This window comes from Homo sapiens, chromosome 18 (assembly GCF_000001405.40).
Source record: "Homo sapiens chromosome 18, GRCh38.p14 Primary Assembly".
NCBI classification, from domain to species: domain Eukaryota; kingdom Metazoa; phylum Chordata; class Mammalia; order Primates; family Hominidae; genus Homo; species Homo sapiens.
Genome location: NC_000018.10, coordinates 3,093,094 through 3,120,528, shown reverse-complemented (window position 1 = coordinate 3,120,528; position 27,435 = coordinate 3,093,094). Strand labels below are relative to the sequence as shown.

General features: G+C 41.2%; 1 protein-coding gene and 1 pseudogene across 7 annotated transcripts in view; one reads left to right on the top strand and one right to left on the bottom strand.

Moving 5' to 3' along the window:
* MYOM1 (myomesin 1) overlaps positions 1 to 27,435 on the top strand; it is a 180,570-nt gene that overhangs the window by 126,848 nt on the left and 26,287 nt on the right. For 6 of the 7 annotated variants that reach the window (XM_047437910.1, XM_047437911.1, XM_017026062.2 and 3 more), the window contains 7 exons: positions 534 to 660; positions 4,014 to 4,198; positions 8,117 to 8,231; positions 17,899 to 18,055; positions 20,103 to 20,209; positions 20,326 to 20,370; positions 26,223 to 26,359. In XM_047437910.1, coding sequence (XP_047293866.1) covers positions 534 to 660; positions 4,014 to 4,198; positions 8,117 to 8,231; positions 17,899 to 18,055; positions 20,103 to 20,209; positions 20,326 to 20,370; positions 26,223 to 26,359 — 873 coding nt within the window. Of the gene's footprint in view, positions 1 to 533; positions 661 to 4,013; positions 4,199 to 8,116; positions 8,232 to 17,898; positions 18,056 to 20,102; positions 20,210 to 20,325; positions 20,371 to 26,222; positions 26,360 to 27,435 lie in introns of those variants that run through there. The other variant, XR_935071.3, reaches the window with a different exon arrangement.
* RNU7-25P (RNA, U7 small nuclear 25 pseudogene) lies at positions 26,898 to 26,960 on the bottom strand (annotated as a pseudogene).

Sequence of the window (27,435 nt, the reverse complement as noted above, 5' to 3'; positions counted from 1 at the left end):
TCCTCTTCCAAGCCCGCTCAGGTTGTTGGCAGAATTCAGTTCCTTGCAGCTGTAGGGCTGAGGCTTCCACTCCTAGATGTTGCCTTTCTCCAAATGTGAGTGGGTAGGCAGCTCTCAGTGTGACATTTACCTCCTCAAGGCCATTGGCACCATGTTTTTCTTTAGGAGGGGCCCGAACCCCATTGTAAGAGTTCTTACCTGATAACATCAGGCCCATCCAGGATAATTTCCCTTTTAATTAACCTCAAATCAGCTGACTAGGGACCCTAATCTATAATATCTTTTCTCCTTTGCCATATGGGGTGACACAATCACAGGACTTGATCTCCCAATCCCTTTGCCACATTCTATTGTAGGCTACAAGGAGGTCACGGTTTCATCCACACCCAGGAGATTACAAAAGGGGTGTGACTCATTGAGGGTCACCCTAGGGTGTGTCTGACATGGAAGGTAAATAAATAAAATGCTCAACAAGTAGAAAAAAAAAAACAAACCTGGAACATTCAGTATCTGTGATGTTGTCAATGTTGCAGATTAGCAACTTGAAGGAAAACATGGTGTATCAGTTCCAAGTGGCAGCCATGAACATGGCTGGGCTGGGCGCGCCCTCCGCAGTAAGCGAATGCTTCAAATGTGAAGAGTGGACCATCGCCGTCCCAGGTAAACCACAGACACCTGCCTCCACACCGCACCTCGGAATTTCCTCCAAGAGAACCTACAACCTGGAATGAAATTCAAAGTACTATATGGTCAATATTTAAGGGAAAAGAATTCTCTTGGCCCCTTGTGTTTACCTAAAATATTTTAATGATAATATTAAATAATAGGTAGCAATGTAAAACTGAGTATAAATTCCTTATGCTTGTGTTCCCAGTAAATCCTAGAGCCCTCATCGCTCAGCCTGTGCGAGGAGTAGGATTAGCACAGGCAGCCGGCTTGAGTGCAAATGAATGTTTAAAAGGAATTCCAATCTTTGTTTTTGCTTCTGAAAGGCCACTTAAAGGTTATCCAATTTATATCCCACAGCAAAATTTCTCAAACACTTCTCCCTGCACTTCTTTGTTCTCATATATTGTTATGCTGCTGGGAAGGTTCTCATTTATTAGCCCCCCAAAATCTCTCCCTCCATACCCAAGCTATGTGGCTTCTTAGGCTCTCCTTCTCCCTCCTCCCAGCTCTTCATCATATCACATGGATGGATTTCGTGCACCTGTCTAGGGTTTAAGGCTGACCTCTCTCCGCTTGCCTCTCTGCACTGACTTTTCCAGCCCTTTCTCTCTAAGCATTTTCCAAACTCTGAGCCAAAAGAAATTTCCTGGAACCTGGCAAATACTGTTCTTCAGAGGTCATCATAGGGAGTGGTTGGGTGGGCAGGGAAGAAAGTGGGAAGTGGGGCGAGGATGGGGCTGGGGGAAACTTACCTTGCTTGTAACTCTTACAGAGTTATAAAGACAAAATAAAATAAAATAAAAATTGAATGCAAATTTACTAAGCCGTTAAGATTTAAACTAGCAATAGTAAGGTATGCGGGGGGTGATTTTATGTCCCTGGTGCCTCTTGCTTCCTCTGTTTGAAACCCTTTGCCCTTGAAGACCATCACGTTGCCTTTGCTGAACTTCTCTGTCAGGTGTGAATAACAAGATTCCAAGAGAAACTCAAGAGCAGTTCAGGTGCTCTCTCGACTTCAGCAAATAGAGAGAGACAAACACATTGCTCTTTCCTTGCAGTTCCTTGAGGCCAGTTGGTATTTCTTAAGTCCTTTCTGCCACCTGCATAAAAGTGGGTCTATTTTCAAATTCTTGCAATTCCTGAGTAAAGTGAAATGCAATCGACTAGAGACTAAGAAATTCCGAGCAGGCCTGTAGAAATTTTTTTTGATCAAAAGTGATGTCGTTGGCTGGGTGCGGTGGCTCATTCCTGTAATCCCAGTGCTTTGGGAGGCTGAGGCAGGGGGATTGCCTGAGCCCAGGGGTTCAAGACCAGGCTGGGCAACGTGGTGAGGCCTCATCTCTTAAAAAATGTTTTTTAATTAGCTGGGCATGATGGTGCATGCCTGTAGTCCCAGCTACTCAGGAGGATTGCTTGAGCTCACGAGGTCAAGGCTGCAGTGAGCTGTGATCACACCACTGTGCTCCAGCCTGGATAAGAGTGAGGCTCTGTCTGTCTTTAAAAAAAAGTGATGCAGTTGACAAAGAAAGGTTGCAGGTGAGCGCTGTCAACTTAGAGAAGAAATGGAGGGGGCAGCCCTCCACCCTCCTGACACCCTGGCTTCTCAGTCCCATCCTTGACTTACTGAGTAGTGTAAAGCAAGTCTCACTTCAAGAAATCCCTTATGGAAGAAAGCAATAAGAATGTTTTGTCATCCTGTTTTACAGATGAAAAAATTGACACTCAGGTTAAATGATGCCCAGAGGGTCACAGAGGTAACAAGTAGCATAATTAGGGTAGGAAACTAGGTCTGCTTTTCCCTAGACTAGAGCTGCTAGGAAACAGCAGAGCATAGTTCCTCATCTGTAGGGCAGGGATACTGCTCCCAATCTAGATGCCTCCCTGGGTTCTCAGGATGACACAAGATCATGGTTATAAAAGCCCTTTGCAAAACAGAACATGCCACATTCGTGTGAGGTATTTGGTATTAATATTTAAATATAGCTTTATACAAAACATCGGAAGGCAAGCATGACGCATATTTGTAGCCATGAAGCCAAGGTAAAGGGCCAAACAAATATTGAACTATCAATTACACAACACCAAAGCATGGCATAACAGAGTATGTCCTTCTACAAGTTGGCTTTCAGGCTACTGTGAGTCACTTCAGGTGATTTTGATTGGTTGGCTAGATGTCAGTTGTTATTTAAAAAAAAAAAAAGGAAAGGAAAAAATAAATTTTTTCACCTGCGTAGCAGCTGGTGGTCATGCAAAGATACAGGCAATCACTTAGTAGTTTGGACTTTGCCAAGAATGTGAATAGCATTCATACAGGCCACATTTTGGCTTTCTCCCTGCAGAGGGTTATGAAGTGTCTTGGCTTCTCTGAGCTTTCTTTCTGTTAATTGTCTTAAGGAAGAGGGAGATAAATGAATGTAAGGTACCTGGCAGTATTTAGTGCAGATGCAGGGCCCATAGGATTGATTATATTTAATTTGGTAAAAGGATTTTGTAAACCATAACCTATCGTTTGTTTTTACCCATTTGTGGGCTGCGCATACTCTTTACGGGGAAGATTTTCCTCCAATTGGGAGTGATGCTTTTTCCTTTGAAAGAGCTATTACTCTCTATATTCATATGCCATCAAATAGAGCTGCTTTCTTTATACTATTTGAGATTAAGGGGAAATTTTAGGCTGTCACTCAAAAATTATCTGAAACTGGGTGCCAGATATGGTGGCTCCCACCTGTAATCCCAACACTTTGGGAGGCTGAGGCAGAAGAACCACTTGAACCCAAGAGTTCAAGACCAGCCTGGTCAACACAGCAAGACCCTATCTCTATAAAAACTTAAAAAATTAGCCGGGTGTGGTGGTGCACACTTGTAGGTCCAGCTGCTCAGAAGGCTAAGGTGAGAGGATCCCTTGAGCCCAGGAGCTCGAGGTTACAGTGAGCTACCATCACACCACTGCACTCCAGCCTGGGTAACAGGGCAAAACCCTGTGTCTAAAAATAAAAATCAAAAAATATGAATCTGCAGCTAAATCAGACTGTTCCAATAAAAGGTCTTTGAGACTAATGCAGGCCAGAGAATGGCCTGAAGGGAAGTTTTGGGTCCACCCTTTGAGAGGCACCTCAGAGTGGCCTTACCTACCTGCCACCCTTAAAGGGACTCAGTGGGCTAATGTAGAGCAGTACGAAAACGTTGTGAAATGACCACAGAATACTTATTTTTCATGGGAAAGCTAGATTTTGAAAAAAGAACACCAGTGTTAGATTAGCTTGAAGACTTACAAGTGGTTCTAAACGTGTGGAGACGAGTTTTCTCTGTTATGATTTCTACTCATTGGCTTCTCTCTCTCTCAGGACCACCGCACAGTCTCAAGTGTAGTGAAGTCAGGAAAGACTCACTGGTTCTCCAGTGGAAGCCGCCAGTCCACTCCGGGCGGACTCCGGTCACTGGTTACTTCGTGGACTTGAAGGAGGCCAAGGCCAAAGAAGACCAGTGGCGAGGGCTCAATGAGGCGGCTATTAAAAACGTATACCTGAAGGTAAGAGGCTGCTCAGTTCTAGAGCTTCCTCTACTAACTGCTCTACTAATACGAACTTTAAAGTTAGCAAGATAAAACAGAATATCTCCGCTTTGATCTGTTTCATATATTGGGCTCCTGGTAAGATTCCACTGGCAGAGGTTGGGGCTGGGAGAAGTTTCTGATGCTTGAAAGAGTTTGGTTATATTTAACCTGAATTCCTTAGCATAGCTTTGAAATGCACCCAGCAGCTCCTTCCTCTCTCCTTTCTCTCCTTGCCTCAACTTACCCACTACACATTTTTGTTACTCATAGTCTTAAAACCTTACTGCTTACCATCCCCAAAAGGTGATTTTTTCATTCCTCTTTTTTCTAGGGGGATGGTTGATTTGAGGGTGCTGTTTTTATAAAGTTCACACCAGGAAGCCTGTGACTACTGATCCTCTCGAGTCACTCCTGTCTCACGTTACCTCCTCCCTCAGGCCGGTTCTCACATGAGCTCTCAGAGATTAGTGGAACAGGTTCACTCAACCCCCTTATCCATGTCACTGCCTTTCAGGTTCCTCTAGAGTGTGCTCATTGAACCATTTCCTAACTCTGTTGGCCAAAGACTGTTCTGCCATAGCCACCAAATCTCTCATTTGTAGCAAAAGGAAATTTCGAAAGAATATTTTCCGCTAGTGTTAGCAGTGGCACCTGGAGACCCTGATGCCCCAGCGGGGCCTCAGAAACTGTAGGGAATATGATTGCATTACTTACTACTTAGAATGAAATGTGACTGACTTCACCACAGTCACTCAGGAAGTTACACACTGCGTTTGCACAGTCCTATCTTTTGGCAGAAGAGGTCATTGCCTATAAGGTGGGCTTTGGAAGATACTCAAAGTATACCTGGCCAAAAAGATCTCTCCCTGACCTGCCTCATGAACTAAGTCCCTTCCATCTATCAGCCACTCTCCAGGGTTAGGGTATTTCCAGCCACTCTAAACTATGTAAATATATCCTCCAGGAGATACAGCCCATAAACCATTATACCCAACTTGCCATTAACTCAACTTAGCATATGCCAATCAGCTCTCCAGCTTCTTGCAAAACTCTGAAGAAATAAGACAGGTCATCTTTTCATGAGGAAGAGAAAAGTTCAAGGAAGGACTGAAGCCTATGATGTTGTTTGCTGTCAAGATGAGTCCAGAGGTCCCTGGATTCCGAGAAACCCCCAAAGTACAGTGTAAAATAAAGGTCAGGAACATCCTAGATGATGGTGGTGGGTGTATATGGCTGGGATGAAGATTTCCAAGTCTTCAGTCTGCCACTGTAGAGGATGCCAAGGGCCTGAGGTTTGAACTGACTAGGGTGAAGCGAAACAAAGGTGAAGAAGCAAACAAAAAGAAAAAAAAAAGTAGAGTTTAAATGTGTGAAAGAATGGTTAATGTCACTCATTTTTAAAAAGAAAAAGAATAACGGGAATTTTAACAGAGAGACAGAGAGAGAAAGAGAGACTGAGGTTAAGTATACCTAACAAACCTGGAAGTGAACTTCCGTAAGGAGAGTTCTTACATTTTATCAACAGTTTTTATAAAGTGAAAATAATCTTTTTTTATTTTTCTGATTATAAAACTAACAATTTAAATGAAAAATTCAAACATAAGAAGCACAAAGAAGAAAGTAGGCCAGGCACGGTGACTCATGCCTATAATCCCAGGGCTTTGGGAGGCCAAGGCAGGCAAATCACTTGAGCCCAGGAGTTCAAGACCATGGGAAACATGGCAAAACCCTGTCTCTAAAAAAAAAAAAAAAAAAAAAAAAATTAGCTGACCATGGTGGCATGTGCCTGTATTCCCAGCTACTCAGGAGGCTGAGATGGGAGGATTGCTTGAACCAGGGAGGCGGAAGCTGCAGTGAGCTGTGATTGCACCACTGCACTCCAGCCCGGGCAACAGAACGAGACTCTGTCTCGAAAAAAAAAAAAAAGGGAAAATAGATCTGCATCGATGATCTCGATTACGTATTTGTGGTACTGTTGAGGCCAGTGGTCATTGCCCCTGTGGTGATGGAAGAGCAGAGAGTGCCCCTGTCACCCCAGGGACCAGACACTGGAATATGAACAGACTTCCTGTACATGTTGCAGAAATCTGACTCACAGCCATACATCATCACCTAGGTGGCAGGTGCAGATGTGTCAGGTACCTGGCGATTACTCTATTTTTATTACACGGAAATGTTTCTGTGTTCTTCTGGAAATCCACAGTTTCCTGGCATTATTTCTAAACATAGAATTTAAATATGTCAGGCTCTATACATTTAACCTATAACTAAGTTAAAGTTCATTTACAGAATAAAATCCATTTCAAAAATCCGTTAGTGCCAGTGAGGGCTATTACTACATAAATAGTGACATTCTGCTGTAAACAAATACAATTAGTTAGATTAAAAACCTAACAATTTAATACGTACCTCATTTAAATACATGGTCACAAACACTTCACATAATTGAATAACTTTATTCCAACATTGTTTGATTTAAATCACATTTTGGATATTGGTCTCTATCACATCTTGGGGAAAAATTATGCCCTCTGTGTAATAAATTCCTTCTTATAACATAGCTTTTAAAAGTCACATGTTTTTAAAATAAAAATGTTGATAAAACATTAACAGTATTGGTAATAGTAATGAGATTATTCAAAACCCAAAGAAAGTTACAAAAAATTAAGTAGGAAACCAGGCATGGTGGCTCACTCCTGTAATCCCAACACTGTGGGAGGCTGAGGTGGGAAAATTGCTTGAGCCCAGGAGTTTGAGACCAGCCTGGGCAACATGGAGAAATCCCGTATCTATAAAAAAAATTGTTTTTAGGTAGCCTGGTGTGCTGGCACATGTCTGTGGTCCCAACTATTCAAGAGGCTGAGGCAGGAGGATTGCTTGATCCCAGGAGGTCCAGGCTACAGTGAGCTGAGATTGTGCCACTGTACTCCGCCTGAGCAACAGAGTGAAACTCTGTCTCAGAAATACATACATATATATATATATATATATATATATATATATATATAGACACAAACACATACACACATATATATACATACACATATACACACATAGATGTGTGTGTATATATATATACATGTGTGTATATATATATACATGTGTGTATATATGTATGTGTGTGTATATATACATGAAGTGGGACTGTCATACAAAAATAAATTATAAATGCTTTTTTTTTACAGCTCTTAGTAATTCTAGTTTAGTGGCACATATGTAGTGGATTCTCAGCACACATCTTGATCATTAAAAACTTGAGGATTTAGAATTTTAATACACTTTGGTTATTCACAAATTATTCAAACTCACAATTGTGTTAATTTCATGTCTATTTAGTAAGAAATAGCTATATTAAATTTACAGGAACAATTATTGTTTGTTTTGGTTTTAGTAGTTTAACATGCTTTTAAACAAATGGAAAGTGTTCATGATTCATGCTTTTAATTCTCCTCTTTTGCCAAGAATTCCATCTGAAATTATTCATGGAATGTCTCAAAAGGATTGGGGGGAAAAGCGACATATATGCTATAATGAGCACTTTGTATTTTGTCCTTTTGACCAAAGAATACAGTGGCTAACGCATGTGACACCTACGTACACTAGTCTCTGTTTCTGATGTTGGTGGCCACTAAATTAACTAAAAAGGAGAAACATCAAAGTGAGAATGGATATTGGAAACTCCTCTCTATCTACAGATGGTCTAGAGAGAAGACCATCTACAGCTAAAGTCACCTGCGTAGTGTTTGACAGAATCAAATCTAGACCACAAGTCTTGTATCCCTGGTGCTAGGTCACTAAATCATTACTACAGAGGAAGAGCCCCGTCTGTTTAAATGACATAAAACAGCCACTGCTTCATCAAACACCCATTGCTTCTACACCTGCTTCTACCAGGTTCGAGGCCTCAAGGAGGGCGTCAGCTACGTGTTCCGTGTTCGAGCCATAAACCAGGCGGGAGTTGGGAAGCCATCTGACCTTGCTGGCCCTGTTGTGGCAGAGACCCGTCCAGGTGGGCTTTCACCTTTTCATTAAAACTAATCCTATCTGTGTAAGATACTGAACTAAGGTTCGGCCTTTCTGTGCTTTCCTCTAATTTTCAAAACAATCAATGTGTGCTATCTGAATATAATTGATAAGTAATGATCTTAGAACATGACAGTCATTGGTCCCATCACAGGCACCTCAGGACAGGGTTGAGCCAGGTTTGACGTGGTCTAGGGGCTGTTCTGATGCATACCTAAAAACCCGGAAGTTCTTGATCAAGTTAAGCTTCCCGGACCAACTGTTCCAAGCATTCATTCCTGGAATGTTATTCCTATTACACCCTGGCCATTAAGTCTCATAAGAATATTTTCCCAATCATAGGGGAAGCTAGAACAGCCCAGCTAGTGGGCACAATCCTTAAACGAAAGTAGGATTTATGTAATTGTAGCTATTATGTTTAAACCAGAGGTCAGCAAACTTTTTCTGTGGAGGGCCAGATAATATTTATCACTCAACAGCCCTGTGGTCTCTGTCACAACTTCTTAACTCTGCCATGACACAAAAGAAGCCATTGAGGATACATAAACTAATGAGCATGGCTGTGTTCTAATAAAACTTTATCATGCACATTATATGTATTATATAATGTGATGCGTTATATGCATTATAAAATTTCAATCTTGTATAATTTTCCTGTGTTTTGAAATAGTAATCTTCTTTCAATTTTTTCAACTATTTAAAAATATAAAAACCATTCTTAGCTTGCAGCCCTTGCAAAAAGAGGTAATGGGCCAGATTTAGCCCACAGGCCATAGTTTGCTGACCCCTGGGCTAAACTAACAGTGGTCCCAACTGAATGGTTTATAGATTCGAGGCAGCCCTCATTTCCCAGTTTCAAAGATGCCGTGATTACTAGAGAAGACAGACTTGCCGTTTCTTATGAGAACAGAGTTTACTGTGTTCATTGTCCAACGAGTTTCAGATCATTACATAATAATTTCTTTTATCATTTAACCTGTATTATTTTTCAACGTTATCATATATTTCAGTTCATTAAAGTTACATAAAGGAAAGCACCGGAGGCCAGGCACTGTGGCTCATGTCTGTAATCCCAACACTTTGGGCAGCTGAGGCTGGAGGAACCTAGGAATTCGAGAGCAGCCTGGGCAACTTGGCAGAACCCCACCTCTACCAAATTTTTAAATTAGCTGGATGTGGTGGTGAGTGCCTGTAATCCTAGCTGCTCGGGAGGCTGAGGCAGGAAAATCGCGTGAACCCAGGAGGCAGAGGTTGCAGTGAGCTGAGATTGTGCCATTGCACTCCATCCCAGGCGACAGTGAGAGACTCCATCCCAAAAAAAGAAAGAAAATTTAAAAAAGAAAACTGCACTTGTATTTGCTTGCTAACTGATCTCTTTCATCTGCTAGAACCGTAGTTTTCAATCTTGCCTGTACATTAGAATCATACGAGGACTGTTTTGAAAATACTGCTATCTGGACTCAACTCCAGACCAATTAAATCAGGATCTTTAGGGCTGATGGGATGATGACAGAAGATCAGATATTCTAAAAAAAAAAAAAAAGAAAAAAAAGAATCTCTTAGGCTGGGTACCTGAACATAGGCTTATTGCTGTTTGTTTGTTTACTTAGCAATTTGGGTAATTCCAGTGTGAAAACAGGCTTGTGAACTGTACTTTAGACCATAGCTCCTCAAAATAGGAACTGTGTCTTTTCTGTACATGTGCTGAGAGTCTAACATAGTACCAGGTATATAATAGCTAATTTATTAAATGAAAAAATAATGAATGACTAGCATGTTTGCCAGTGAGTGTGACACTGTCTTGAAGCCTCAGTGTGTGCACTTCACCCCAGTCGTCTTGTACTGCCTGCCCTGGTTATGATGGGTGAGCTGGGGAAGAAATGTCTGGTGGAGGCTCCAAGGTGGGCATGAGGCTGAATGGTCAGCCGCCAGTCCTCGTCTGAAACCCAGGGCAGCTCAGTACTACACGTGACCCATTACATTAACTCACTTTCCTCTGCTTCTATTCTGTCCCATGCTTCAGTTTTTTAAACATCACCACACACACACGCACACCCCCACGCACACCCACAGCATGGAGAACAAATAATTAAAGCTTATAAAAGTGATATATTCATGCTCATGTAAAACACTTTATATGAGAAAGAATTATCATATCAGATTACAAAATGTATAGGAACGTGAACAGTTTACTGTGATTTTATTTAAGCTTTTAAATTTTATCCTTTATTATCATTTTTTGTGGGGAAGAGAAAGAAAAGTGGGATGAAATGAGTTAATTTCCAAATAGTTCATTTTAGTCCTGAGCCACACTTGAACCCATTAGGATACCAGGAGTTCTGGGCAAGCCTTGGAGGGATCATTGGAATGCTGTCTTGGCCCTGTAATCCCAACACTTTGGGAGTCCAGATAGGAGGATCACTTGAGCCCAGGAGTTGGAGACCACCCTGAGCAACATAGTGGGACCTGTCTCTATTAGAAAAGAATAGGAAAGAAAAAATAATAATAATAGTAATGTAAAATGAGATCTGTTAAAATCAGTTATCTCTGTGTCTGTATTAAGGATTCGCTTAGGTTGAGGAGTTGACTAGTGACAACTCTTCTTAAATCCTTTTTAGGCAACAACGACAACAACTCTCTCATGTTCTATACATAAACCTCCTGAGATCTTAGTTAAGTTCTTCACATTCATGAGCAGGTTAAGAGGTTGTTTCTGAGAAAATCTAAGTTATGCCAAATTTTGGTCCACTTTTCCAGCCCAACTTTGTGGGAAAGTGGGATGGCCTCTCATCTGGATAAGAATACCACAAAGACCACTTTACTTTGATAGCAGAACATCAAACTTGCTTCCTGCCCATTAATTATCAGAACCACATCCCTCAATCAACTTGAGAGAATATGCCTCTTTAGGCATTTCTCAGAGTTCAACCATAATTAATTGATAGGAGCTCAGCTCTGGAAAACCTCAGCTAAGTTGTGGGATATTCTAAAGAGAAAATTTGGCTAGGTACGGTGATTCACGCCTGTAATCCCAGCACTTTGGGAGGCCAAGGCGGGCGGATTACCTGAGGTCAGGGGTTCGAGACTAGCCTGGCCAACATGGTGAAACCCCATCTCTACTAAAAATACAAAAAAAATTAGCTGGGCGTGTGGCGGGCATCTGTAATCCCAGCTTCTCAGGAGGATAAGGCAGGAGAATCACTTGAACCTGGGAGGCAGAGGTCACAGTGAGCCAAGATCACATCACTGCACTCCAGCCTGGGCAACAGAGCAAGACTCCATCTCAAAAAAAAAAAGGAAAAAGAAAAAGGAAAATTTGAGGAGGATGTTATAGGTAGACTTTTCTGTCAGGCTTTTTCTGTGATATTGTACCAAGTTAATCTCCACAAGGCACTACCTGGTGGGTTAGCCTGGGGCATGTTAGAAATTCTGAAATGCTGTCATTGGCCGGACACGGTGCCTCACGCCTATTATCCCAGCACTTTGGGAGGCCAAGACAGGCGGATCACAAGGTCAGGAGTTCGAGATCAGCCTGGCCAACATGGTGAAACCCTGTTTCTACTGAAAATACAAAAATTAGCTGGGTGTGGTGGTCCGCACCTGTAATCCCAGCTACTTGGGAGACTGAGGCAGAATTGCTTGGACCCAGGAGGTGGAGGTTGCAGTGAGCTGAGATCACGCCACTGCACTCCAGCCTGGGTGACAGAGCAAGACTCCATCTCGAAAAAAAAAAAATGCTGTCATTGCTTTATAGGCTAATATATGGGCTTTGGTTTTGCTAGGGCATCTATAGAAAGAATCATCCATTTGAGTATCATGTACCTTTTGTTAAATTGCAATAGAATTTTTTGTCTACTATGTACAGGACCCTTATTTAAATAATTATTTAATTCCTCATCAAATTTATCAAGGAGGAGATCCAGCTTCAAATTCTGAGTATAAAATTAAGTAGGAAACCCACTGCCACTAGAATATTTTCTTTGTTAGTGTAATCGCCCATTAGGTTCTCCCTTCCCACTGCATAGACAAAATCAATCCACTGCGACTGCAGCATTGCAGTTGAGAATTTAATTGACCTGAGGCCAGCTGAAGCGAGAGACCTAGAGTTATCAGTCAAATCAGTCTCCCTGAAGGCTCAGAGGTTCTTTGAGTAAGGGCATTTTTTTAAGAGTGACTTAGAAGACCAAGATGCCTACAATGGGGAAAGTAAATTGAGTCACAAGTCAGGAGTCTGGGTGGGGTCAGTCTTAAAAACATCTAAAAGAAAACAATCTTAGGTTCTACAATACTGATGTTATCTATAGGAGCAACTGGGAAGCTCACAGATCTTGTGACCTCTGGCCACATAACATCTAAGCAGTAAGGGATAATAGAAACTACACCTGTCTTGTAACCTCCCATTAGTGGTTTCAGCCCCTGAACAGAGAGGACTATTATCATTCTTGCTTTCAAGTTAAACTATAAACTAACCTTCTCCCAAAGTTAGCTTAGCCTGTGCTCAGGAATGACCAAGGGCAGCTTGGAGGTCAGAAACAAGATGAAGTCAACTATGTCATAATTTTGCAAAGGCGGTTTCATTGGTAATTTTGTTTCCTCTCACCTCTTTATCAAAATATTGGTGTTATACTTTAGCTTTAACAAGACAGTTTCCAATAAAATAAATGTCATAATCTTAAACTGGCATTTATCTTTTAAAGATGGTTTTTTTAAATCTCAATCCAGTCCTGCATGTGTAAATAGGTAGGGGAAATATAAGACATTTGTGGAATTTAACCCTATTCTCAATAAACTAAACAACCAGTGCAACTTTTTGAAAAATGAATATCCAATCAAATAATCCTCTTAGCCAGTTTTAATTTTTAAACCTGGCCGGGTGCGGTGGCTCACGCCTGTAATCCCAGCACTTTGGGAGGCCAAGGTGGGTGGATCATGAGATCAGGAGATTGAGACCATCTTGGCTAACATGGTGAAACCCCCTCTCTACTAAAAATACAAAAAATTAGCCCAGCGTGGTGGCACATGCCTGTAGTCCCACCCACTCGGGAGGCTGAGGCAGGAGAATCACTTGAACCCAGGAGACAGAGGTTGCAGTGAGCCGAGATCGTGCCACTGCACTCCAGCCTGGGCAACAGAGTGAGACTCCGTCTCAAAAAAAAAAGAAATTTTTAAACCTTAAGTGCCAAATATAGTTTTAATAGTTTTTATTTGTTTCCTTTATTGTTCATTTATTTAATAAATCCACCAGTAGCACCCACAATTATGTGTGCATAAATTGAAGAAATGTTCATGCCTCTCTTTTCTACCCACTACAGATATTGCTTATGATATACTGATTTGACATAATTAATCAAGAAAAGCTTCACAGATAAGGGAAACTCTTAGATACTGATTGATATTACAGCTAATCCTTACCTCTTTGGCTCTCTCCTAGCAATTACTTAAGTTTGTTTGTTTTTGTTTTGCGACAGGATCTGATTTTGTCACCCAGGCTGGAGTGCAGTGGCATGATCATTGCTCACCACAGCCTCCATCTCCCAGGCTCAAGTGATCCTCCTACCTCAGCTTCCCTAGTAGCTGGTGCTACAGGTGTCAGCCACCACATCCCACTAATTAAAAATTTTTTTTGTAGATACAGAGTCTCATTTTGTTGCCCAGGCTGGTCTCAAACTCCTGGGCTCAAGCAATCCTACTTTGGCCTCCCAAAGTGCTGGGATTACAGGTGTGAGCCAGTGAGCCCAGCCAATTACCTAATTTTAAATTACAATTTTTAATGTAAGACTTTGAAAAAATTTCCACATTCTTTTCTAAAAAGTATGCATGATCCCATTTCTTATGTTACAACTCAACTATAAGGTAATGATGTACGACTCATAGGTTGAAGTTGAAACACAGATGTGGCTTAGAACCTAAAAATAACATCTTTTATTTAAAAAGGCAAATAAGCAACATCTTTTGTTTCATTTCATATTTTCACAAAAGATCTCGAAATGCTTTACAAAGTTTATTTTTCAGAATACAGTTATCCCTCTTTATCCTGGGGGATCAGTTCCAGGACCCCCTGTGGATACCAAAATCCAGGAACACTCAAGACCCTTCATAAAATGGCATAGCATATGCACATAGCCTACAGACATCCTCCTTTATACTTTAAATCATCTCTAGCTTACTTACAATACCTAATATGATGTAAACGCTATGTAAAGAGTTGGGATACTGTATTGTTTTTTAATTTGCATTGTTTTTATTGATGTGTTGTTACTTTTATTGTTTTTTCCCCAAGTATTTTCAATCCACAGTTGGTTGAATCCACGGTTGCAGAACCCATAGATATGAAGGACCAATGTACTTCAGTGATTCAGCTCTATATTCTTTGCTCAGTAACTGAGGCAATTGAGACAAAAACTAAACGGGATTTTCTTTCTTTTTTTTGAGACAGAGTCTTGCTCTGTTGCCCAGGCTGGACTGCAGTGGTGTGATCTCAGCTCACTGCAACCTCCGTCTCTCAGGTCCAAGCGATTCTTGTGCCTCAGCCTCTCAAGTAGCTGGGATTACAGACATGCGCCACCACGCCTGGCTAATTTTTATATTTTTAATAGAGACAGGGTTTCACCTTGTTGGCCAGGCTGGTTTTGAACTCCTGGCCTCAAGTGATCCCCCTGCCACGGCCTCCTAAAGTGCTGTGATTACAGGCATGAGCCACCATGCCTGGCCAGGATTTTCTTATTCTCCAAGTTTCATGGGTTTGGGACCAAATTTGGCCATTCAAAAACCTGAACAAATTATTGTTTTAGATGACCATTTGTTCCATTTGCCTGAGGGTTTACCGCTAAAGCATTAATACTTTAAAATTTCATTTAAGACTTTCTGATGAAAATCGTTTTAAAATAAAGTATGCAATTCAATAAGAGCTTTTCATCCTTCTTGGATGCAGTATACTGAATCTTATTTACCTTTTTCTGTGACTCAGAGCCGTAAGTATCACCTTTATTTAATACACAGTGTTGTGATACAGCAATGTTGTTATGGGGTGGAGAAGCTATCTGCCCCTATAGCAAATAATGTTTTTGTGCCTGCTTTTTAGTTTTTCTCCCTCCTTTCTTGCTGTCATTTTCTTTATTCTCAATGCTCCTGCTCATAGTAGCTTCTTACCTCCCTGTCTTTTTTTAATCTACTGAGAGAAACCAACCAAGTAGGCTTGTTAGAATTGTCTCAAGCAAAGTATAAAAAGACTCCAAGGCTGGGCACAGTGGCTCATGTCTGTAATCCCAGCACTTTGGGCGGCCAAGGCGGGTGGATCACTTGAGCTCAGGAGTTTGAGACCAGCCTGGCCAACATGGCAAAAGCCTGTCCCTACAAAAAATGCAAAAAAATTGGCCGGATGTGGTGCCATGCACCTGTGATCCCAGCTACTTGGGAGGCAGAGGTGGGAGGATGACCTGGGAGGCCAAGGCCACAGCGAGGCAAGATCACACCACTGTACTCCAGCCTGGGTGACAGAGTGAGACCCTGTCTCAAAAAAAAAAAAAAAAAAAAAAAAAGATTCCAATTCCCTGGTGAGTGTGCAGCATACTAGTGTGTGGACTTTGTCACATCAGAACTGGTATTAGAGGCTTATTTTCCTTATTTCTTGGTTTTGGGCAGTTTTCCAAATGGGTGAGGTGTTACACTACAAAAGTTATCTACAGCATTTAGAGAATGGCGAGGCTGATTAAATTGTTCGTATTCTTTCTGTTTTGTGGCTATTTTGTTTTCAGAAAAGTCAAATCTTTCACAATCAAGATTCTTAAGCTAACCAATATTTTTGTTGTACACTTGTCATACCTCTAATGTAATAAACAACAAGCATATGGATGATTCACTTCCTTTTAAAAAGGGATCACAGATAGAACAATGAATGATTAATATAAGCAATCTGTCATGCTTCCAAAATAGAGATTATGCAAAAAGCAAGATTACCTCACTTCTTTTCTCTCTGTAACAATACAGATATACAAAAATTTCTGTTTACATTCTTTCTGTGACTCAGTCACACAAACTGTATATTATAATACAGTCTAAACCTCAACACTCTTCAGTGTTAGCCTTTTCTTAAGTTTTAATAAAAGCATTTGTTCAACATTTATTATACGAAAATAGAGTGTGAAGATTAGTCACGTGTTATCAGGAATAGAAATAAAATGTGGGCTGCAACTTACAATGGAATACATATAGCCCTTTAAAAGTAACATATGGTGGACAATTAAGGAATACTTAAGCCTTTAATTGATTGTTATTTCACTTTATGTAACCAAATATGAAAGTAGCCCTTTGTTTAAGAAAAAGGAATTTTAAAAAATTTTCTAGAACCAGTCTTCTCTAAGCTTTGCATGTGCTAACAATCACTTTTTGGAAGTTTATAGTTGAAGCATACACTGCCATCTGTACGGACACAAGTTAGATCAACTATCAGGCTCAGGAACCAAGATCATCCTGCCAGGCACAATTTGGGCACTGGTTTCCTCTTGGCCTTCCCTTGGGAAAACGTTTGCAATTTTTTTTCCACTAACAAGTTTTATTGGACAGTAGGCCAGGATGTTGGCCTCTTGTAATACAATCCAGACAGAAAATATTCAATTCTTTTGGAAGGTTTTTTTATGCTTTTTAAAAAAATACAGCTGTACTTTTCTGGGATTAAATGTAATATATTTTATATATATTTTTCCTAATGTACTGAAACAAACCAAGTTTAGACTGGCAATTGAATGAGTATAAATCTGAGTAGAGCATTTTACTCCTTTCAACTGGATTTAGGCATAGATGTGAATGTTTCATATGCTGTACAAATTCTCCTTGAATTCTCTATTAGGTGCAGGTGCAATTTATTATAACTCTCAAAAATAGAATAACTCAAAACACTAACTGAATTTTTTTTAATCCAAAAACCAATCTTCCTGAAAGAGCTGAATCTCTTGAAACTCATTTCCATTTAAATTTCCATGCAGTTCAATAATAGTCATTTCTCAGTTGCTATCACTCTAATCTAGAGGGGCATCTTTAAATTGATTTATGGTTCTGTGATCCACAGAGCAGGCATCCATATATTTCTCCACTCTTAAATGACTTAAAGACTTTGAATATGTGAATATAGGCTATTCTTAGTCTCTCTACTTTCTCCCATTCAATTTCCTTTTGGGTTCTTCATCTCTATCCTTCCCTGATGACTGATTGCATGCGGACTTTCTCCCATTCAATTTCCTTTTGGGTTCTTCATCTCTATCCTTCCCTGATGACTGATTGCATGTGGATATTGTTGAAACAAAAGTCATGAATGAGGGTCTGATAAAGATCAATTGACTTTCCCTTTTCCCAAAGCTGCCTTGTTTCCTCATTGCAATCAATCCACTCCCATAACTGTACCATCAGTCACATCACAAACAATACTGTCCATGGTGTTGACTCTACCTAAGAAATGTGGTGCAACCATCTAATTTCATGTTATGGCATAAAAGTTGAATTGTGGAGTAGGACTGTCCACCTGCATGAGTAGTGAAGCTTTTCCCTGACCTAGGATCAGGGCCCTACTTTAGGGTTAAAGTAAAGAATCTCAAGGTAACAAATTCTTACTTGGTTGCTTTCCTCCACGAAGTATCAGTGCCTTCTTTTTGATCTTGTAGGAACCAAAGAGGTTGTTGTAAATGTGGATGATGATGGAGTCATTTCATTGAACTTCGAGTGTGATAAGATGACTCCAAAGTCCGAGTTCTCCTGGTCCAAAGATTATGTATCCACTGAGGACTCTCCACGATTGGAAGTCGAAAGCAAGGGCAACAAGTAAGGACTATGTCAATCACAATCATGGGTTTCCTTTTCACTGTAGGAGAATGAGGTGAGCTCTGATTTCCACTTAAATTGCTTGGAATAAGAGGATGAAGTCACTTATATTTTATATCTGGTATTGTAGAAAATAATAACCAACTTAAACCTTAAAAATAATCATCCTAGGCCGAGCGCGGTGGCTCACACCTCTAATCCCAGCACTTTGGGAGGCCAAGGCAGGTGGATCACGAGGTCAGGAGATCGAAACCATCCTGGCTAACATGGTGAAACCCCGTCTCTGCTAAAAATACAAAAAAAAATTAGCCGGGTGTGGTGGTGGGTGCCTGTAGTCCCAGCTACTCGGGAGGCTGAGGCAGGAGAATGGCGTGAACCCGGAAGGCGGAGCTTGCAGTGAGCCGAGATCGCGCCACTGCACTCCAGCCTGGGCAACAGAGCCAGACTCTGTCTCAAAAAAAAAAAAAAAAAAAAAAAAAAAAAATCCCAGACTGACTCATTGGCTCACACCTGAAATCCTAGCAACTCAGGAGGCTGAGGCAGAAAGATCACTTGAGCCTAGGGGTTCAAGACCAGCCTGGGCAACATAGTGAGTCCCTGACTCTAATAAAATAAATACTAACAACTCTTATGAAATACTTTTTACATTATTCCATTTAAAGTGCTTTCTTATTTATTATCTCATTTATGCTATTAGAAACATTCAATTGACATAAAGATCAGCTTTAATAATGATTCTCATTATCTATGAAATTTTGAAATCTTAAAGTAACAATAAGGATACTTATAGGGGGCTAGGAAGAACTCGCTGGTTCAAGTTATGGTAAATTAAATGGATTGAGGATAATCTTTTCTGCTTTTTTGATCATCACTCATGCGTGACACAATAGTACATGGGAAGAAAGCTCTATGTGGAAGTATAAGATGAACGAGCTCTAGGCCCATCTCTACCAGGAGCTGGCTATATAACCTTGGGCAGCTATTTAACTTCCATAAACCTCGGATTTCTTTTTCTATAAAATGAGCATGGGGAGAATGGAGGAATTGTATGATCTATCATTGCCTTTCAACGCCAAGATTTTGAGTATTCTTTTTACTTTGCTTTATAGCAAAAGCTTACCAAGCTTTGTATTTTCATAGTGTCAACCACATTGGATTGATATGATAAAGCAAATATTTGATAAAGCACAGTATTTCTAAGTACTTTTTTCTATTACAATGAAGCCCAGTGTGTCTCAGAAATCAAAGAAAAAACTAGCAATTTTGCTGTAGAATGACAAGGAAATACCAAATATAATTAAAGGATGTTTTTCTGCCACCATGCTGTAAATTTCTTGACATAAAACACATTTGCCCCAAGAAAAGATAATTGAACGATAATTTTTTCTCCCAGTTTATACACTTAACATTTCAATGTTTGGTTGATCTTAGACACTGCCTAGCAATATAGCTTACCAAAGTTAGAAAACCCAGTGAACTTGGCCACTGAGCCATTCATTTACTTATTACACATACTATGTGCCAGACAAGGTACAGGGTGCTGGGGGTGACACAGTAAACAAAGCAGTTCCTGTCTCTGAAGGCACAGGGATTACACAGTGAGGAGAATACAGATGCTTTGAGCTCAAGATGCTTATAATAAGTTCAGAAAAGGGAAGAGCAGGAGATGGCATAGGAGAGGCACCCAGAGTTACCAACAGCAGGTTCTGCCCTTGGCGGGGGAAGTGTCTGGCTCCCAGCAGGGACTGATCAGCTGGGTATTTTTCTGCAGGATATGCACTGATAAGCAACATAGCTTGGGCATGTGGAATTTGTGCCAGTTCCACTCTCCCGTCACCATCACCCCCTGGAAGGAGGTAAGGAAAGTCCTCCCAGAGTAAATGACATTGAATCTGAGACACCAAGAACATGTAGGCTGTAGCTCAGCAAGATGAGAGGAGGTGTCCAGATGAAAGGAGTAGTATACACAAATGCCCAGATTCAGGGGAAACACAGGCCCACAGATCCCACACAGCCTCATTTCTAAGAAAAATATTTTGTTCCGAAGGACGAAAATGACCTTCAAAGACCTTGGGATGGATGACTTGGGTATTTACTCTTGCGATGTAACAGACACTGATGGAATAGCATCAAGCTACTTAATAGATGAGGAAGGTAAGTTTAAAATCAGTGCATTCACACATCGAATGTTGCTTTGAATTCTCAGTTATTCTTAAGTGACTTTTATTTTAGTAGTTTAAGGTTTAACTGCCTTCTTTTTCCCCCTACAGAATTGAAACGTTTACTTGCTCTCAGCCATGAACACAAGTTCCCAAGTAAGTATCCACAATACATTCACAGGTTTTTAGCAGTCTTACTAGGCAGCAACTTCTGGAATAGATCAGATGACAGCTCTGATGGGATTAAGAGAGAGACTCTTGAGAACATATAATGGAACACACATCAGTAGCTACAGATGTGCTTTCTAGAAGTGATGCCTTTTCCTTTGCGGTTGTTCTCCAGAGATACCAAGGATACTAACATAGAAAATATATCCCATGCTCCATTACATGGCGAAGTGTCAGGCTACACAGGTGTAACATCTGAGTAATTAAGTTCTTCACTTTTTGCCCACATATGTTGGAATCACATATATATTTTCTGGATATATTCACTTATATGTCTTTATGCAAACTAATCTTTTCCTAAGTAAGATTGGCACTTAAAAGCAGAATCATACCTCTAAATAAAGACAATATAAAGACAGTGCCTACCATTTTCAACTCCTGGAAAATTGGGCAAACATGCCTTCGTCAGAAAAAGAATCCCTCTGAACAATGTACAACCCTTCAATAAAGCACCTTCTACATAAAAGATTAAATTCCACACTTGACACTAAGAGAAGAGAAGGAAGTCAGAAATGACCCTTGGAAGGTTCCACTGGCCAGATGGGGGGATCTCTTGCCATTAGTACCCACTGGCCAAGGTAGTGAAGCATCCAGAAAGTTGCACCCTGGAGTTTGAGAAAACAAGTAGAAAGTGATAGTATACACCCATTCTTTTTAAATCAGAAATTTTAATACTTAAAATATAAATCCTCCACTAATAAAGGAGTTTCAGGAACCCAGAAAACTATATTCCTATTCCAGACTATGGACAAACAGCCTTTGTATATTGATATATGTGCATTTTTCTAGGAAGAGTATCCTTCACTTTTAGTAAATTCCCCAATGGAGACTGTAATTTAAAAACACACACCACTGCTCTAGAATGAATTGCGGACCTTCTCTTACATCTGCAAGGAGTGACTTGTTTGATAGTGAGGCTGAGTGCTGGTGATATTGGCCTCAGCTGTAATGTTCTCAAAACCAACTTTGGCTGGGCACAGCGGTTCACACCTGTACTCCCAGCACTTTGGGAGGCCGGAGCGAGAGGATCACTTGAGGCCAGGAGTTCAAGGCTGCAGTGAGCCATGATCACGCTACTGCACTCCACCCTGGGCAACAGAGCGAGTCCGTATCTCTAAAAACAAAAACTAACCCAACTTTGTTCAGCAAAGTAGCAGAGTGGAGGGCCCATGAGACACGACTGTAGGGCGCAGACTTCTAAATTCTAGGGAAGAACCCTCTATGCCACCATGTGGCATTAGGCAAGCCATTTCTCATCTGTATGCTTATTCACCATAAAACTGGAAAAGTAATATCATGAGTGAGGTTTCAAATGTTAATTTTGAAAAAGTTTATGGAAAGTACTAAAGTGTATTGCAAAGTGTTTGGACTGGACTCTCTTTGTTCTGGACTTTTGACTCAAGCTGTGCGCCTGGGCAGCTCACTTTTATTTCTCTGTGCCTTGGTTTCTTTTCCAGGAATGGCTATCACAGTGGTTTATAGCACCTCCCATATAGAAATGCTGTAAGAGGGTGGGGTGTGGTGGCTCACACCTGTAATCCCAGCACCTTGGGAGGCCAAGGTGGGTGGATCATGAGGTCAGGAGTTCAAGACCAGCCTGACCAACATAGTGAAACCCCATCTCTACTAAAAATACAAAAAATTAGCTGGGTGTGGTGGTGGGCGCCTGTAATCCCAGCTACTCAGGAGGCTGAAGCAGGATAATTGCTTGAACCCGGGAGGCGAAGGTTGCAGTGAGCCGAGATCGTGCCACTGCACTCCAGCCTGGGTGACAGAGCAAGACTCCATCTCAAAAAATAAAAATAAATAAAAATAAAATAAAATAAATGCTGTAAGAGATAATAAATATGGTATTGATGAATCCATGAACTATTCAGGAAAAATATGAACATTAATTGAAACAGACCAGTGATCCCTGAACCTGCTGCCCAACGCAGAAGTCTCCAAGCTACATAAGATGGTTGTACTTTCTACTCTCGAACATTGACAGAAATGGGGAGAAACAGCAGCACCTACTAATCTAGTCAGATAATAAACATTGATTAAGTGTCTAGACAACAACTAGTCCAAACAACATTTACATTCAGCTTAAAGGTTGGAGATGAGAGAAGATGGGGTGTCACTTTTGAGCTCAAGATGCCCAGGCCTCCCTGGAGTTTAGTGTTCATATGGACTTGGAGAGAGAATTAGTCCGGGCAGTAGGCATTGCCTGATGTCATTATCATTTATGCTGAGATATTTTATCTTGCATAAGCCCAAGAACTCTGATTATTGGTGCTACGAGAGAGGGTAGCAGCAAACTCAGTTATCCTTTTATTAGAGACCCAGTGTCGCATTTTGGTAGAGAGACCCTGAGAATGTGATTAAAACTCTGACATTCGGCTGGGCAAGGTGGCTCATGCCTGTAATCCCAGCACTTAGGAAAGCCAAGGCGGGAGGATCACTTGAGCCCAGGAGTTCAAGACCAGCCTGGTCAACATGGTGAAACCCTATCTCTACAAAAATACAAAAATTAGCCAGGTGTGGCCGCAGCTCCTCGAGAGACTGAGGCGGGAGGATCACTTGAGCCCAGCAGTTGGAGGCTGCAGTGAGCCGTGATCATGCCACTGCACTTCAGCCTGGGTGACAGAGTGAGAATCTGTCACAAAAAAATGAGTATAAAAATCACAAAATAACAAACTCTGACATGCAAGTATCAGAGCCCCCAACCCAAGGGTGTTTTGGTTAACCCAAGGAAGCAACATTTTTCAATACTAAAACTCCAGCTCTTTTCTTTCCCCTACCACTATCAGACCAATGAGGTCACAAGGTGAATATCTTCAGAGGTCTGGTGGTAGGATCAAAGTAGCACATGCAATTTCTTGATTCATACCCACTTCCTGTTGGTAAATGCTGGCATGTTGATGAAGTCGTTTTCTTGAGATTTTGTAAAGTTTTAAACTGTCTTATTTCTTAGAGAATGTAATAAAGAGTATAGTATTCCTTTATCCTTTGGCACAGTAAATTCTCCTATTTTAAGCTGTTTTCAAAATTATTTTGAAAACCACTAAACACGTGCCTTAAACCTACAAATAACATATTTCGCTGAGGCACATTAACTGCCAGAGAAAAGAGCCTAAGGAAATTTGGAGCTGAGTAAATAGAAAAAATAGAAATGCACAAAGCTAAAAATAGAAATCGACTTAGTCTATCTTGCCAGTATTGATACTAAATTGCAGTGTGGAAAGATAGCTTATTTGAATATATATCCATACACCAAGAATTCAAGGTATTTTGAGGGGGTGGGTGGAGGGTACACTTTGGTATTATCAGCATGCTGCATAATAGCCCTTCATTTGCAGACACCGGTTTTTACCCCTCTTGTATACATGCACTATATGTGGGGAGGCAAGCACAAGCACGTATACATAAATACAGATATGTTGGTGTGTCCTCTTAGGTGTCAACATATTATATTCTAAAATTAGTGGTTGTAAAATTTAACCAGGTGTGGTGGCTCTCGCCTGTAATCCCAGCTACTCTGGAGGCTAAGGTACAAGAATCTCTTGAACCTGGGAGGTGGAGGTTGCAGTGAGCCGAGATCATGCCATTGCCTAGGTGACAGAGTGAGACTCCATCTCAAAAAAAAAAAAAATGGTGTTTCTAGGGTGTTGTAGAAGCAACTAGAGGAGGAGAGAGATAACAAAATATTAACAGCCAACATTAATAGAGCATTTATTATATGCCAGGCTCTTTATAGAGTATTTAAGCAGTATATATTATTTGAATTCCACAATGACCTTAAAAGGGTTGGTATTGTGGCGATTTGATTTTAGAGGGGAAGAACATGAGGCCCAGAGAGGTTAAGTAACTAGATCATTTGCAAACAGCTGGTTAAACCCAGGTGGTCTGCCTCTGGAGCCTGCTCCCCTGACTGTGATGTGGGCTATCTCTATGTAGGCACGGCCACATTTGCTCCGTGCCCACTGTGGACATTCAAGGCGGCCAGCATTCCCCAGACGATGTTCTCAGGACTCAGGGAGGACAGTGAACATTAAGGGAGCTGGAGACTTCCAGGAGGGCCTGTTCCTCCTCCTCCCTCATCACTCTGGGCCTCTTAGGTAACCTCCTCACTCACATAGTAAGTTTCCTAGAATGAGGTCTCCAGATATTTTTAGAAGAAATTGTGCTTTCTACTCTCCTCAAGACTTAGTTGTAGCAAGCATGAGCATCCTGTAAGGGAGAAGCTTAGCCTCTGCCCTTGCTGCCCTGGTGCACTCAGACATCCTGCTCACACTGGAAAACCACCGTGTGGACAACGAGGACCAAGAGGAATACAGAAGAGAGGGAGTGACCCTGCTCTCAGCTCCACCACCCAGACGTGTTACCACTGTCTCCTGGGGTGCAGTTGAGATTTTGTAAAGAGACCAGTAAAGTGAGGGGAGGAAGATAACCAACCTTCTTGAACACAGACCACTATTCACAGTACCTTAATGTGTTCTCTTACTATATTTACATTTGTTTGTTTGTTTATTTATTTGAGACAGAGTCTCACTTTGTTGCCCAGGCTGGAGTGCAGTGGCGCGATCTCGGCTCACTGCAACCTCCGCCTCCCAGGTTCAAGCAGTTCTCCTGCCTCAGCCTCTTGAGTAGCTGGGATATAGGCGCCCACCACCACGCCTGGCTAATTTTTGTAATTTTAGTAGAGATGGGGTTTCACCATGTTGGCCAGGCTGGTCTCGAACTTCTGACCTCAAGGGATTTGCCCCCCTCGGCCTCCCCAAGTATTAGGATTACAGGCGTGAGCCACCATGCCCGGCCTTATATTTACTCTTCATAGCACATCCATGTTAGCAGGTGAGGGACACGAGGTCTAAAGGAGGAGAGTAACTGGTCCAGATCTTGGTGGGACTCCAAAGCCCACCTTCTCTCCACCTTGAAACCCCCTCAATAGATGACATCTGAGCCCCCTCTCAGTCCTGCATTGGAATGAATGTATCACACTGAACTTGGTAGTGAATATGGAATAATGCAAAGAAAATCATCCCTTGAAACTTGAAAAGGGTAGTTTTAAAATAAATACAAAGAAATATTAATTTACATTTGACATAAGTTTAGGAAGCTTCTAATTTAAAATACAGCACATGCCAACTAGATGAGGTGGCTCACACCTGTAATCCCAACACCTTGGGAGGCCAAGGAGGATCACTTGAGGTTAGGAGTTCAAGACCACCTGGGCAACATAGTGAGTCTCTTTCTAATAAAAGAAAAATAAAAAACTAGCCGAATGTGGTGGTGCGTGACTGTTGTGTGAGCTACTCAGGAGGCGGAGGTGAGAGGATCGCCTGAACCCAGGAGGCAGAGGTTGCAGTGAGCCGAGATCATGCCACTGCACTCCAGCCTGGGCAACAGAGTGAGAACCTATTGCAAAAAAAAAAAGAAAAAGAAAAAGAAAAAACACCAACCAAAAGCCACAGTAGAAAGTTACAGATATTAGCTACAAGTGCCCCTATGCCCCTAGAGGTAAGTTCATCTTCCTCATTTTTACAGTTGAGACAACTATGATTCAAAGAGAATGAACAACTTGCTCCAAGTGACAGTCCCAGCATCAGAGCTGAGTCCCTCTGTCTTTAATCTAAGGCTTTCCCTGCAACTCTCACTGCCTCTGGGCTTTGCAAGAAGCAGGTGCTACATTGTCATTTCCATTGTGTGGTTTTTTTTTTTTTTTCACTTGATGGAAAATGAGTACCAATATAATTGGTTACCAATATAATTACTGTGTTTATTTTTACTTTTCATAGCTGTCCCAGTTAAATCAGAGTTGGCAGTTGAAATTTTGGAGAAAGGCCAGGTCCGGTTTTGGATGCAGGCTGAGAAACTGTCTGGCAATGCCAAAGTCAACTACATATTTAACGAGAAGGAAATTTTTGAAGGCCCGGTAGGTTTTACACTGTTTAGACTTTTTAATGTATCATTGTAGAATACACTGAGGAAGCCTTATGTGGATGTGGATATGTTGTTATAAAAACCGCTGGGTGGTGGAGTGGGAGAGTTTAAATCCTTCTCACAAGTGAAAACTGTGAAATGAAAATACAGATTGACTATAACATATTATGCAAACTGGGACGCTTTGAGAATGAAAGGACAACAGTCATAAATAGTCATAAACCAAAACGGTCTCAGGCAAACCGAGATGTATGATCCCCATGAAAATAGAGAGGCTCTCCTGGGAGGCAGAGGAGCCCATACCCTACCCTGAATTCACATCTTACTCACACTGGACACCCCAGCACGGACTTGATTCATTATATGAAGAATAGGCCTCTTGTCCCAATGGCTCTGAAAAATGCAATAAAAATACCTTTCATTGCTTTTCTGGTTAAAAACACGATACATCCTTATTGTAAAAAGCATTAAAGACTCAGAAAGGACTAATCACACATTCTTACGGCTTTTCTTAATTTGGTGGTGGTGGTGGGGAGTCTTTCCAGCAAAAACCGGAAAGCCTGCTAGACAAATTCTAAAAGAGCTGTAACACTTCTTATGGCTTTTTGATGTACATATTGGTATATACTTTTTTAGACTTTTTTCTATGCTTCTCTGTGTGTACGTCTGTTTGAGTCATATTTACGTAGGTGATTTTGTATATATATAAAATACTCTTTCCTTTCCTTTTAACATAAACATAGTTTTTGTAGATAGAGTTACAACATCTAAGTTTTATTTGTCCTCCCCACAGATGTCAGTCAAGTCAAGATCAGGCCAGTGCCCAGCAGTACTGAAGAACTGGGGGTTCAGGGGCACTGACCTGTGCTATCATGGGTGTAAATGGGAAACTGAAAGGGCAGAGGAGGTGTGGTTTGTGGCCATTAGTAGCAACCCTTTCCCTTTTCACTGAGATGTATTTTTAAAACATTTGAGGACTTGTTAGTGAGAGGGAAACGAGTACCATGAATATTAGGAGAGTATGCAGTATAGTCCTTTCCAGTGCATAGAGTGACTTGCTGTGGGGCC